Source organism: Homo sapiens, chromosome 14, assembly GCF_000001405.40.
Source record: "Homo sapiens chromosome 14, GRCh38.p14 Primary Assembly".
Taxonomy (NCBI): Eukaryota; Metazoa; Chordata; class Mammalia; order Primates; family Hominidae; genus Homo; species Homo sapiens.
The window spans coordinates 39,853,164-39,867,858 of NC_000014.9; the positions used below are offsets into that span (position 1 = coordinate 39,853,164).

At 38.0% G+C, this 14,695-nt stretch overlaps 1 long non-coding RNA gene across 2 annotated transcripts in view; it reads left to right on the plus strand.

Moving 5' to 3' along the window:
* Positions 1 to 12,835, plus strand: part of LOC105370461 (uncharacterized) — a 433,650-nt gene extending 420,815 nt beyond the window's left edge. Inside the window, exons 6-8 of one of the 2 annotated variants that reach the window (XR_007064121.1) lie at positions 1,724 to 1,873; positions 9,366 to 9,447; positions 12,588 to 12,835. This is a non-coding gene — a long non-coding RNA (uncharacterized LOC105370461). Of the gene's footprint in view, positions 1 to 1,723; positions 7,065 to 9,365; positions 9,448 to 12,587 lie in introns of those variants that run through there. The other variant, XR_007064127.1, reaches the window with a different exon arrangement.
* Positions 12,836 to 14,695: the final 1,860 nt, after the last annotated feature.

The following is a 14,695-nucleotide window of genomic DNA, read 5'->3' on the forward strand; positions in this document are numbered from 1 at the left end:
TCAAAATTACCAGAATAGCTACAACTGGAAAGACTGACAACACCAAATGCTGGCAAGGATTTGGAGTAACCAAAACTCTAATACTTTTTTGGCGAGAGTGGAAATGGTACAACCACTTTGGAAAAGGTCTGACAATTTCTTTTTAAAGGTAAACATACACCTCTACTATGACCTGGCAATTCCACTTCTAGGTGTTTACCCAAGAGAAATGAAAACTTATGTCCACAAAAAGACTTTGCATAAATGTTTATAGCAGTCCTGTTTACAATGTCCAAAAACTGGAAAAAATACAGATGTTTATCAATCAAGAAAATAGATAAACTGATGTATAGTCATATGACAGATTACTACTTAGCAATAAAAAGGAACAAGCTACTGCAACATGCATGAACCTCAAAAACATTATGCTAAGTGAAAGAATTACACAAGGGAGTACATACTGTTTGAGTACATTATGACAATTATGGTCTAGGACAAGCAACATTAATCTGTGGTAGTGCTTCCCTCCCTAAACACAGTGACCTGCTCCTTATGGGCGGTAATAAGAGACCTGCACATGTTTAAGGAAACACTATGGCTCATGTAATTCTCAGACAATTGTGGAGATCTCTTAAATGAAACTACCCTTAGTTACTTTAGACAGCTTTGTGGAGGAACAACTGACATTATTTATGTCCCTACTGTGGGTGGTTTTACCTGCAACATGGGTTATCCACTTAAAAAAAACTGATAATAAATTTGTCTCTGACATTAGCTAAAGTGATCAATAACAACATCTTGGTTCTATAAGCCATTCAAACCAGCTTGAACTCACTGGCCTGGGTTATTTTGTTATCTGTATTCATTAAATATTCCAGTGATGGTTGAAAGAAACATACTTCCACAAGAGATGTTTTGGATGATAAAAGTTTACTTGGCTTCTTCCTTGTGGGCCAAGGCAGAGTTTGTGCAGTCACTAATACATCCTGCTGTATATGAATGAATGCCTTGAGGCAAGCAGAAAGATCAATGCAGAGACCTAAGGAGAAAGCCATCTGGTGGTTTATCAGACTTGTTCAGCTGACTGTGTCTGGGACCGTGAGCAGGGCATGGTTGAGATAATACTGCTTACAGTTCTATTGATAGTACCTATAATTAAATGCTATATTAGGCAAATTGAATGGATTACGTCCCAACATGAATTAGTCACTGAGAGAATGGTGTATGCGTGGTACAATTCACGAGATGCCAAGGTGGTGTAGAAATGAGGTATGGAGATTGTTGTGAGACAGTTCTCCATGTGTCTCTTGCTTTTCTGCATGTATTAAGAGTGATGCTCTTCGTTCTGAAAGTTCCTTAGTTACAGATGTTTCTTTGTTCAAGATCATCTTTTCAAGGGTGTAAGCAGGCATGGTCACTGCCCATTATAAAAGATTCAGTTTCCCCATGGAACCAGGATGAATATTGACACTAGTTGTTGCAAGAGGGAAGAACAGAGGCTGATTGATTGGCAAGGAAGTCATCCTACACAAAGGAGAGTCAGCAACAACTGATTTTGTCTTTGAATCCACTTTCTAGTAGTAGGCCTGTAATCACCTTCCCATTTTTTTCTCTCTTTACTGAAAAAATGCACTGGGGGACTATTTGTTATCCATAGACCATACCGTTTGATTAACATGTTTACTACCAGTTCTCATAGACTTTTCTCATATTTTGTTAAATGTCCTCATCTTTCCTCTTGCAGAAACCCATATATTTTCCAGCACTCCATCCTCACTGTCAAAACTGTCAAGAACATAAAGGGTCTGAGATTGTGCCCTACTTGCAAGGCAACAAGTTAACCTGGCATAGTTTCATGTATGCTGGTAGAAGCTATGAGGCTCCTGATTCAGAGGTAAAGAACTGCTTATATTGTTTATTTCTCACAGTAATAGCAGTAACCAGAATATGAGCCCGTTTTCCAATTTTCATAGAGAAGAGGGCTGGATGGTGCCTCAATAATTCAGTAGTTTGCATTTTAGGAGAGAAACCCTGAACTTAAGGTGCCTGAATCTCTATAATGGGCAGAGTTAGCATGTTTGCCCTTTACTCCAGAGGGAGATGCTTTCTGTCTTCCAAGGCTGTTCACAATACAAATATCCTAAAAAATATAGTCCAGAATAAAGAGTAGTTAGTACGTAGCTCACAATCATATGTGTGGAAATGCGAGACACCCATGAAGAATTGTCTCCATGGATGTCTCATCCTATACATGGCTTCACATTCCATGACCTGCTCACAGCAGTGCCCTTCATTTTCATTTTTGTTTTACCTTCCTCCTCCTCCTCATCACTCTCTGCTTGACCTTGCCCTCATCTAGAAGTGCTCTTTGTATAAAATCTTCAAACTCTGAAATGTCAAACTCTGACCCAAATATTGTACCTTTCTTTCTTCCTCACGGAGACTAAATAATCTTTGAAATTAAGTCTGACTTGAACCTCAAACACCTTACTTTCCTGGCCTATCTTTCCTTCCTGGCTTCACTCCCTTCCCTGTCAGGCTAAGGCCCAGCCACTTTCTCCTCACCAGTGTCAATGCCTTTGCCCCTATTCCTTCTGTTATACTTGCTTGACACTCGTAACTCTGGATTATCTACTACTTGTTTTCTCTCTTCCTGTTAGCAGGCTTTCTAACAAATGTGGAGAACATCGAATGACCTTGTTGATGAAAACATTAAAAATGATGATTTCCAATTTTAGTAGCTTCAGGCCATCTCCCTAGTTCAGACTTCTTACTTGTAAAATATTTTGGAGAGGTAGCAAGCACCACAGCAATGAAAACTGAAATAGGCCTCAGATAATGGTCACAATAAAATGTTTATTATAATGCTAGCAGTAAATATAAGAGGCACTTTTCTGTCTAACATCTACCTGGGTAATGGGCCAAAAGCATTTTAAGTTTACAAAGTGAAAACAATTAATACTTTCTCAAAGCTAGATTAAAACAGAACCTAAAATTACATACTCGATGGATCTATATTGTGGTTATCTTTACTGAATCTCAGTTCAAGTTCAGGGATGTAACTTTGCAAGGTGACTTATGACTGTTCCTGTTTTTCATTTTGTTATTTTCCATTAGACAGCTAAACATATTACTAAGTGTCAAAAGCTTTTGCCATGAAGGTAGGTGAAGAAAATATGAGAGTGAATACTCCGATGATGGTTTTAGTTTATGATGCATTTCAAGCTGTGCCTTTTCAACAGTTAAATACTTCAGCACTTTTAGTGGGATGAACCATCACGTATTTAAAAAACTTAAGCACTTTTGTTTCAAAGAGAAGAGTCAAGTTTAATGTCAATTGGTGAAAGCATAGAGTATGATGGGTTTTAGGAGGGAAACCTGAAATTGTACAATGTATAAGCATTTTGACATTCTTACTTTATGATCCCTTCCTCAGGGCAGTTCTCATTCAAAATCAAATTTGTGCTGACACTATCAGGCTTCTGATATTTATATTCATGATAATAAATTAGGAAAAAATTAAAAGGTAATAAAGTAGATACTGTTTCAAATGAGGGCAAAAATGAGAGGAAGTCATCAATTGGCAGGAACATGAGGAAGTCTGTATTATTAATGCATAAGAATGAAACGAAAAATGGGCATATTAGGGAGGTTTCTTTTTGTTTGCAAGTTTTATTGAAATTTAGAAAGTTCAGTTGTTTTTTTTTTATTATTTTTCACAAAAGCAATGTCAAAAATGGTAGATCTTAGTCTTGGAAACAAAAGCCTATTTAACTTGCTGAGAATCTGATGCAGGTACTACACTATTATCAATATGATGATAGACCTTAAAATAATTCCATAGCGGGGAGAGTTTTAGACTTGATTTCTATTTCTGGCTCCTCTATTAATTTAGACTAGCTGCTTAATCTCTTTAGGTCTTCGTAAAATAAATGAGTGTATTAGATAATCTTTAAACTCACTTCTAGTTTAAAATTCTTTTGTATTCCTCTATTTCCTATTTCCTTCCTTTTTAGAAACATAAAGTCCTTGCAGAATTTTTTGGAGGCAATTCTTTTGTCTTCACCCTGGCATCTCTCCTCTCTCTCTTTCTCTCTCTCTCTCTCTCTCTCTCTCCTCTCTCTCTCTCTGTCTGTCTCTCTCTGTCTCTCTTTCTCTCATCAGATAAAGCATAGGTCTGCATTTTTGGGACTATTATGTATCTGGGTGGTTGTCATCTTCTTTATGCTTTTGAAATAATGTCAATGCTGTGTTTGTGCTCAGTTTCTTTTGATAAAGATAAAAGCAGATTGCAGGATGCTGTGATCATCTCACTGACAGTCCCTTGGGTATTTATTTTTTAAAACAGCAATTTATTTTAGAAAAGCTCAATGATTTAATGTACATTAATTCACTGATGTTCACATGGGCCTGTCTAGGGAGTGGGAAGGGCTGGTATTTTACGATTATGTGCTCTTACAGACAGGCACAGAGGAGCCCCTGAAATGCAGTGGAATGAATATAATCTGACTAAAAGGTATCTCAAATTTTAACCCCATCTGCTATGGGAAAAGAACACCCAGTGCATGGCTTCACACAGCACTTAGCACATTGCATTGCATTTACTTATTTATGGGTCTTTTTTACCCACTAGACTGTGAGCTTTTCAAGGACACTGCGTAACACATAATGAGCCCCGCGTTGTTATTTCCTGAAATGACATGGAACTTAGTCAGTGTAACACAGGTTCGTTATTGCATCGGGCCCATTTTTGCAGCAGTTTTGCCAGATTCTAGGTGTTTGCCAGGTATAGATTTTGGGGACTCCCTTCCGCAAATCCCTAAATTTCAAAGCCTAGGAATATTTGCACAAGTAATCAACTTTGTATATAATCACATTTCTGTATATCTTGCTTTACATTAGCCATTTTTAAAAGTTTGATTAAATAAAGCTTTCTCTCTTACTTGATGCCTGTTTTCCCCCAAAGTCACAAAATCTTACCACATTATGGAAGTGACTACAAGTAGGAAAAAAAAAATGTCAAGTTGAGATGTGGATTGTATACATCAAATTTTAAAATTCCTATGATGATGATGATAATGGTTGATTTGGAAATGTGTGCTGTTTCCTTTTTGCCAGGCACTCATGTGTTTTATATGTATTTATTTACTTCTCAAAATAATACAGTAAGGTAGGTATCATTCTCATAATGAATTGAGAAATCGAGATTTAATGACTTTGTCTAAAATCAACTGCTAGTTAGAGAGAGCAGGCCTCACATCTGTATTTTTCTTTTAGAGTCTATACTCTTAACTTTCTCTTAGACAAATTAATTTCAATATTTCACTTTAAACCATTTGCAAGGAAATCAAAATTTTAACAGACATCTGAAGATTTATTGCTGAATCCTTTCATGGAACCCCTAATAAGTAAGCCAAAGTCTAGTTGTAGATTGTCATTTCTAAATAGGTACCACCAATAACTTATTGTAGATTTTTTTGTATTTGAAATTTAAATGTGTGCAGTTTTTATGATTCGCATGTATATTAATAATTTATTCATATGTAATTATCATTTGGTTGAGGAAAGAATTAGAATTCCATGTGCTTTGATGCAGTATGTGGAAAGAAGTTAATTGCATAGTAAATATTTGCTGTTTTGGTTGCTGGGCTTTTGATTCTTCTTCCTTTTGGTAAGAACTCTGATTGGGTTTTAGGCAACCACTCCTGCCCCATTGTCAGCCCCGGAAGTTTCAGTGAAGCAGCTCAGCATTCCCTTCTTCCACAGGCAGAACATGAAGCTAAGATTATTCCAATCAGTCATTTCTTTTCTTTTCCCCTGGTTATAGTTATTGGTTCAGAGATAGGCACTGCAACACTGACTAGTTGTCTTCACAGCTAAACTAAACATTTAAGCTCACTTCCATACATCATCCTTGATACCACTGTACAAGGAAGGTCATAGGAGAGAAAACACAGCTTTCCAGTAGAATGGAATTAGACATTATTTCTTGCAAGAGTCCTTGCAGCAGTCCAGCCTAGCAATAAAGCTAAGGTACAAAAAAACATAATCTGCGTTGCACAGGTGAGGAAATCATCATCTCCAATAACCAATATCATTTGTAACAGATCTTTAGGCTTAACTTGAAGGGTCTCTGTGAGAAACGTCATTTGGAAGAGTCACTGAACTCAAGGAAGTCCAAACCATGGCAGCCCCATCAGTTGTTTAGTTGATTTATAGTTCCTCCAAGTCCAGATGCAATTTACTAATCAAGGGTCCTATTTTAGGTAAGCAATTTATGGTAAGCAATATTATCTAGTGATATCCTGACTCTTGACTCTTATCAGATGGCCAGAGGAGCAGAGCTAAATGGTTGAACAAAGGTCAGATTCTCATGCAGCAGGGAAAATGGTTCTGTTAACCCTTTATCTATAGATACTAAATTCTAAGACTTTAAAAGCATGTTATTAGGGAAGCAGGTTCTTTTTTTTGCCACTAGATTTTAAGCTTGAAAGGAGATAGCTAAGTGAACTGCTGTGGCCACATTACTACCATGAGTGGAGAGGCTGTGTGAGAATGGACCTAATCCAGAGGAAGCAGAACTCAGCAAGATGGAAAGAGATACTTGGGACCTGGTGGTTTCAATAAGCCAGGACTAAAACCTTTTTATACAAGGATCTTTCAATCATTTGAGTCAATTATTTCACTTTTGGCTTAAGCCACTGTGTGTTAGATGAATAGAACTGAGTTCTGAGACATTGGTATAAAGGGGACAATCAATAAATTTTTGTTAAATGCATAAATGAACATTGCTGAGTATTTCTCTTTTGATAGGCAAAATGAGGACAGATTCTTAAAAAACAAAAAAATGACATCTGCAAAAACACTGATGCTTAATGATTGACAAATATGACCCTATTATATCTAGTCACTCAGGTTTAGCCATAAAAAAATAAATAAAATTGAATAAAAATCGCAGGAGGTAGAAAAATGGTGACATTGTGTTAGTTGAATGTTGACATTAGAGCTTGGCATCATTTGATTAGATTGATTCATTCATCATGTTGTTCAACAATTAGTTGCTGAACAATTTTTATGTGAGAAGACAAAAGCCTTTTGACTTTTAGAAAGTAGAAATGACCAGGTTAAACTAATGTAACAGGACACACATCTGAGAAGTGGGAAACCTAGTGCTTAGTGTTGACTTTGTGAGAGATTAAATGGGGGCGTAGCTGTGTGCTCTTAATCTCTTCACAAGTTGTGGAGAGATTGTATATACACACAAACATTTGTGTTTATATTTGTGAGATATATATATATATATATATACACACACACACACACACATACATACACAAACCTATATAGGCATATATATGAATAAAAGGAGATTTGTTATGAGGACCTGGCTTATATGTTTATGGAGGCTGAAGAGTTTGAGAAGTCTGCTGTCTGCAAACTGAAGACCCAGAAAAGCTGGTGGTATAATTAAGTCCAAGTCCTAAGGCCTGAGAACCAGGGCAGCCAATGATGCAAATCCCAGTCCAAAAGCAGGATAAGATAAAATGAGATGTCCCAGCTCACTCAGGGAGATAAATTTTAATAAAGCAAATTCTTTCTTCCTTCACCGTTTGTTCTATTCAGGCCCTCAATGGATTGGGTGATATCCACTCATACTGGGGAGGATAATCTACTGAGTTCGCTGATTCAAATGCTAATCTCATACTGAAACACCCTCACAAACACACTCTGAAAGAACATTTAATTTGGGCACCGTGTGGCTCAGAGAGGTTGACACATAAAATGAACCATCAGAGGTCATGTATGTAAAGCTCCTGGCATCAGGGCTGCTGTGCTGCCCAAATCCAGGGGTGGCTTTCACACTGTGTCTCTGTGTCTGAACCCTGTTGTCAGCGGCACTTCCTAGGACTGCCCCTGTTCCCTCATGATCCGCACTAATGAGTGCTACAGCTGTTGTTTTGAACAGGCACAATCGTGGAACAGAATCAGAAAGCAATTTTACTTTTGTCTTCTTTCGTTAATATTCATTCGGTGGGAATGTTTATTTTCCTCCAACAGTTAAAAAATTCAGTAAGATGCTCTACTTTTCTGGTTATTCATAGGTAATACAAATAGTACTGGTCCAGAAGTTAAATTGCCTAACCCCATAGGATTGTCAAACTTCACACTTGATTTAAAGTGAAAACATCTGTCTCTGAGCTGAAATTTCTATGGGCTGTCTGCCTGCAGTTAGGGAGCGTATTGACAGCTGCTTCTTCCTTTCTATACCTCGCGTGTTCTTCTCTCCACGCCTGCTAACCATGATTTCCAACTCTCCTGGCATTAGAGCTGGGTGGAGGGTGTAGTGGAGATACCAGAGAGGGCAGGAAAGTTTTTTCCTTCACTGGTACTGCAAACACTGCCCTCATTTTCTCTGAGCTTGGTGGATGTGTATGACTGACTATTGTGGGACTCATTTGCAGTTTTTTTTTAAATTTTTTTTTAAGAGATTCTCCAGTCTCTGGAGATCCCTTATTCTGGAGTATCCTTGAAAAGGGAGGATGTTCTTTTATTACATCTCATCTCATGTACCTGCTTCCTTGTCTCCTGAGAATTCAGTCATTCATATCTAGTTACTTTCTGCTGAGGACCTTTCAGCTTTCCAGCCTACTCTCTTGGACAAGACCTAAAATGACTCCACTTTAGTGCTCTCTTGCACGTGGCTCACAGAAAACCCTCTAGAATTCTTTGTTCTGATGCGTTCTAGGAGGGCAGGATAATAATCAAATTGCTGTCTCACCTTTGCTCTGCCATAAAGTGGCTGGCTAGTTTCTGCTCTTAGATTTCTCAACTTTGAATCAGATAATTCAGTCTCTCCCCCACTCTGAAATAGCAGTTATTAGGTTTTCTGAGTAGTGCTATTGAAGCTTTTTCACTAGATTTGAGGTAAGGAATGACACACCTTCCCTCCCTTTTTGGGAAGATTGGGGTCCACAGCATCCTTGGCTGGACATGGTGGCTCAAGTCTATAATCTCAGCACTTTGGGAAGCTGAGGTGGGCGGATCACCTGAGGTCAAGAGTTCGAGACCAGCCTGGCCAACACGGTGAAACCCTGCCTCTACTAAAAATACAAAAATTAGGCAGCTGTGGTGGTGCCGCCTATAGTCCTAGCTACTCAGGAAACTGAGGCAGGAGAATTGCTTGAACCTGGGAGGTGGAGGTTGCAGTGAGCTGAGATCACGCCATTGTACTCCAGCCTGGGCAACAGAGCGAGACTCATTTCAAAAAAAAAAAAAAAAGCCCAAACAATTTTTTTTTTCAAAAACTATTTTCACTCTTGACGTTTTATATATATCCTTAATGTAAGTGTAAGGGTCTAACTGGTTTTCAAATATTACTGTTGCAGGACTTTTCCTTAGTTCAGCTAAAGGTGGGATTCCTGTCTGTCCCATGACTGTGAAAATTTAGGCTCACAGACAGTTTAAAGGGTGAGTAAAGCAGGGTTTTATTGGGTGAAAAGGGAAAAAAGAGGGAAACAGGGATCCTATGCAAGGCCAGAGTCCCTGCTAGAGCGTTTCCCACCTGCCGTTTGAATCCCAGGTTCCACACAGGGAGAGGAGGGGCCAGGCTCACTCCCCACTGCAAAGGGCGTGAACTTCCCAAGTCTCCACCTCAGTGGGCAGTCTGGCTGGAGTTTCTTCAGGGACCCCCTCCCACCTTTTTTTTTTTTTTTTTTTTTAATTAACTTTATTGAGATTTTCTGATACTTTAAAAAATCAACATATGACAAAATGAACCTATTTTATTACAGTTCAATGAGTTTTGACAAATGGATACACACATGAACTCCATTATAGTCAATATATATTTTAATCAATCTAAGAAATTCCCTCATGCCCCCATGAGGTTAATTCATCACCGCATCCCTAGCCCTAGACAACCATTGATCTACTTTCTGTCACGATAGATTAGCCTTTTCTGAAATTTCTTACAATTGGAAACATACAATATGTACTCTTTTATATATACCTTCTTTTGCTAACTATAATATTTTTGAGATTCAACCATGTTGTTTTGTGTATCAATAATTCACCTCCCCCCTTTTTGCTGAATAGTATTACATTGCATGGTTATAGCACAATTTGTCAGTTCATTTACTGTTTATGGTCATGCAGATTGTTTCTAGTTTTTGGCTATTACAACTTAAGTTGTTATGGCACAGTCTGGTGATGTATTGGTTCTCTCCATGGGACATATTCTACTTTATGTTTGTTTCGGGGTTTTATTTTTGTTTAAAACTTTACAATTTTTACATTGTTGTGGAAGATAATCTGTAGCCTAAGATTCATCTTCTAAATGACTTGTTTTGCTTACTCATGTATTATCAGGTTTCATGTCCTATTGCAGACCAGATAATTATATATATATTTGTCACCTTTGGGATATTGGGCAATTGGTTGTGAAAGGGACCTTTTGAACCATATAGGGAGGCCCTGGGATGTGTAGCTGTTGTTATGTGTAGCTTTTGAGCTAGCCCTTCACATGCCCACAGAGCAATTAGTTGATAAAGATGAACACCACCAGTCACGTGCATTCCAGATCATCCTCCTGGGTGTCTCCAGTCTGCTCCTGTGTCTGCCTGGCCATACACTCTGTGCTCTGATTCTTGTTGTTAATCACATTCCTGCTATTCTACAGTTACTAGTATTGGTTGTCATGGGCTTAGATTCTTAGTTTTTCTTCAAGGATTTGGCTCTAAAAGGCCTTATGTATAGCCACCTCAGGTAGGTTACTTCTCCTTGACCCAGTCCGGATTCTAAATCTTATGTGGTTCCTAAAAAGGTGGGTGTTTTGATGGAAGCACTTAAAGTCATGTCATATAAGAAAATAAGGAATTAACTGGACATTCTTAGCATAATGGAGAGAATACTAACTATAGATAAAATTGCTATCTTCAAATATTTGAAGGCCTGATGAGAAGGAATAAGCTGATTATTTTTCTTGGGTGGGGAAGGTTCCAAGATATATAACTGATCATTGGGTAGAAGATTTGGAAATAGCGTTTTTGTCCTGATAGTCAGAATCAGCTAAAAATTGAATGGGCTGTGGTTGAGAAGTAATCAACTAATGTCATTGCAGGTGTTTTAAGGTTATATGCTTGGGACTAGTAGGGTAGCTGGATTAAATAAGATTTAAAGTTCCTTCTATTCCTGAGATTTTATGAATCTATGATACATAGTTTTTGAATGTTTTCTTATGGAAAATTGCTCAGACATATTGCTGGCTAATATAATTTTCTTTGTGTAGTTCTCAACTCCTAGGAAAGAAATGATAGAACACTGACAGAATTTAAGAGAGCCAATAAAGTAAAGAGTTAGTGTATGAGTTGGGAAGGTTACCAAACAAGCAAATAAATCTTAGAATTAAAAGTGGCTATGAGTAGATGATTTCTCATCTTAGGGTTGTAAGGTGGGCAGGTGAAAAGGACAAATAAACAAACCTTAGAATAAAAATGTTGCCATATGCAGATTTCTGACTTTAGAGCTGTGGAACACACGGGTACCTGGAATAGTATTAATGTAATCTGCTGGTGTTCACCTAAGAAGATCAAGTGGGTATCTATTTCTCCTAATTTTTATTTTATTTTGGTAAACCAAGATCATTCTTTTCATTGAATGCAGAGTGGAGTTTCTATTATTAGCTGTTTTATAAAGTTTTAATAGCAACAATGAAAAGAAATTCCATGTTTTTACCAAATAAGCTCCAGGCTAATCAGGTTCCAGGGAAATGCTGTAGTAACTTTGACTTGGCAATCAAGCGCAGTCACTGAATTGTTTAAGTAGATGAAAAACAGCTTGTTTTCTTTGCCTTTTTGTGGTATTCCCACGTCAATTTTTTTTAAGCTTCATTAACTGATTTTACACTGTTAGAGTTACTTAACACAGTCAGTATACAAGTGCTTATTTAACAGCCCAATGCAGTTTAGCAGTATACTTAAAAACACTTTCCAGGATAAATGTTGTACTTTATTAGTTTAAAATATATATATATATATATATATACTTTCATGATTACAAGTGATATCTATTTTCTAGTTAAGCAAATTGTCCTTTTTTTTTTTTTTTTTTTTCTTGAGGCAGAGTCTTGCTCTGTCACCAGGCTGGAGTGCAGTGGCACGATCTCAGCTCACTGCAACCTCCATCTCCCAGGTTCAAGTGATTCTCCTGCATCAGCCTCCTCAGTAGCTGGGACTGTGGACATGCACCACCATGCCTGGCTAATTTTTGTATTTTTAGTAGAGATGGGGTTTCACCATGTTGGCCAGGATGGTCTCGAACTCCTGACTTCAAGTGATCCACCCGCCTTGGCCTCCCAAAGTGCTGGGATTATAGGCGTGAGCCACCACGCTGGGCCACAAATAGTACTTTCTGTTCTAAATACTGCTTTGTGAGTATTTCATTTTTACTTCTTCCTTTTGTTTTAAAGAATAGTTTCTTCCTAATCAGCTGAGTTTGGAATTTCATAGTTTGTATGTACCGCAGCACAATTTTGTAAGCATGGCTAATTAATAAAATTAGTGGTTGAGTTTTTTATTTCTGATATTTTACAAGAGGGTGCATTTTATTAGCAGAATATCCCCAAGCATGATACATAAAGAACCCTGCTGGATGATCCATTAGAGAGTCAAGTAATAATTAAGAGATCAACCTTTGGACAAGAGCATCATATTATGGTGCCCCCTGGACTTCATGAAAGGTGGAAAGACACTCTGGAGAAGGACATTGGGACAGTGAGATTTTTTTCAGTAGAGAAAGGTAAGACATTTGTTATCTTGAGCACTGCAGACAAGCCAGAAGTTAGGAGGAGAGCTGTTCCCGGGACTTTTAACCAATAGTGTTGTTGGTTAAAGAGTACCATGGGGGCCGGGCGCGGTGGCTCACTCCTGTAATCCCAGCACTTTGGGAGGCCGAGGCGGGCGGATCACGAGGTCAGGAGATCGAGACCATCCTGGCTAACACGGTGAAACCCCATCTCTAATAAAAATACAAAAAATTAGCCGGGCGTGGTGGCGGGCACCTGTAGTCCCAGCTACTTGGGAGGCTGAGGCAGGAGAATGGCGTGAACCCGGGAGGCGGTGGTTGCAGTGAGCCGAGATCCCGCCACTGCACTCCAGCCTGGGCGACAGAGCAAGACTCCGTCTCAAAAAAAAGAAGAGTACCATGGATGGTACTGTATGTGTTCACAGTAAACCATGGAAAACATTAATTGCAGATGATCATAATGAAAATTTGGTGAGGTTTATATTGTCAGTTTAAAAAATATATTAAATACTTTTTAAAAAGCTAGTCAGAAATAGGGATAAGGGCTTCTACTAGTTTAAAGTTGTTTTTGCTTCCAGTTTTTCTCACTTCTTCCATAATACCCATGGTAACTAAATTATAAATGCCACTCAGTAGGTGAAACTCTCCTCTACAGTGTTAGAGGTTCGTGTGGGCTGGGGCTGTGTCTCATTTTCCTTTCTAATCCCTAGCAGGAGGGAGAGCAGGAGGAAGAAGGGAGCTTGTATGTGCAGGCTTTACAGCTGGTGACTGGAAAGCTGCTGTCGTGGTGGATTGGATCTGGATATGGGAGAAAGCCCACGGTGGGGATCAGGTTGATGTGTGCCTGCCGGAGGCCTAGGTGGAGGTGGCTATGACTGAGGTGAAATCACCCAATGAAAATAAGTCAGTGACCTACCTTAGGGTGTGTCTTCATCCATTATAATTTTGGTTATTATTGAATTTTGCTAGGGGAAGAATTATATATGACATATTTTGTTATTCCCAATGCGTAGCACATAGCTCTTGAATACTGTATATAGCCAAGTATATCTTTCTTGAATTCTTAGATATTTCTTCCATCCAGTAGGAAAATGCTTGAGGAACATTTGTTTTAGAGATAGAGTTGGGTTGGGCTTATGCTATGCTTGTTTTAGGTTGTATGTGTATTGTACAGTAGTGGTAGTTGTAGTAGTAGTAGAAGACATATGAAACAAAATAAAAAAGGAAGGAGAAAGAAAAGGATTTGTTATGTGTCTCACAAAAATATTTTCTCCTAATTTTAAGATTGATAAATATATAAACATACTCTCTAGTTCAAAAGATAGAATCTAGTGTTTTGTTCATTGTTTAGTTCAAAAGTCTATATCTTAAAGGAAATTAATCATCTAATTTCTCATTCTCTAATACCTCTGAAGCACTTATTCTTTGTTGAATAGAATGCCTGTTGAATCTTTTCACTGAATATTAATCCTTCTTAAAATTGGAATTGACTTTTGATTAAGAGTCATCTAACTGGAATACCTAAGAAGTCATAACTTTGATGGGCTTTAAATATAGCCAGACTTTCTCTGAGAAATGTATTACATTTCATATGATGAGACATTATTTCAGGAATAACTTAATGAACCTTAAATTAGATATTTTTAATCATCCTTTATGTAGGACAGGATTTGTGTCTAACTTATCTGAGGGAGTCTACAGAATCACTGGAGATAAAAGCCGTTTTCATTTTGACAGGTTGTTTAGGGATTCTGTCAATGCAAAGAATTTCACCAGAATTGATTTCTTTATGCATAAAGAACTGTAATTTAATACCAAAAAGTCATAGAAAGAAACAGATATACACATAGCTTTCTCTCACCCAACGATAGAACATTTGTAAAAGGTATGTGATGTAAGAAAAGCATGCACTTCT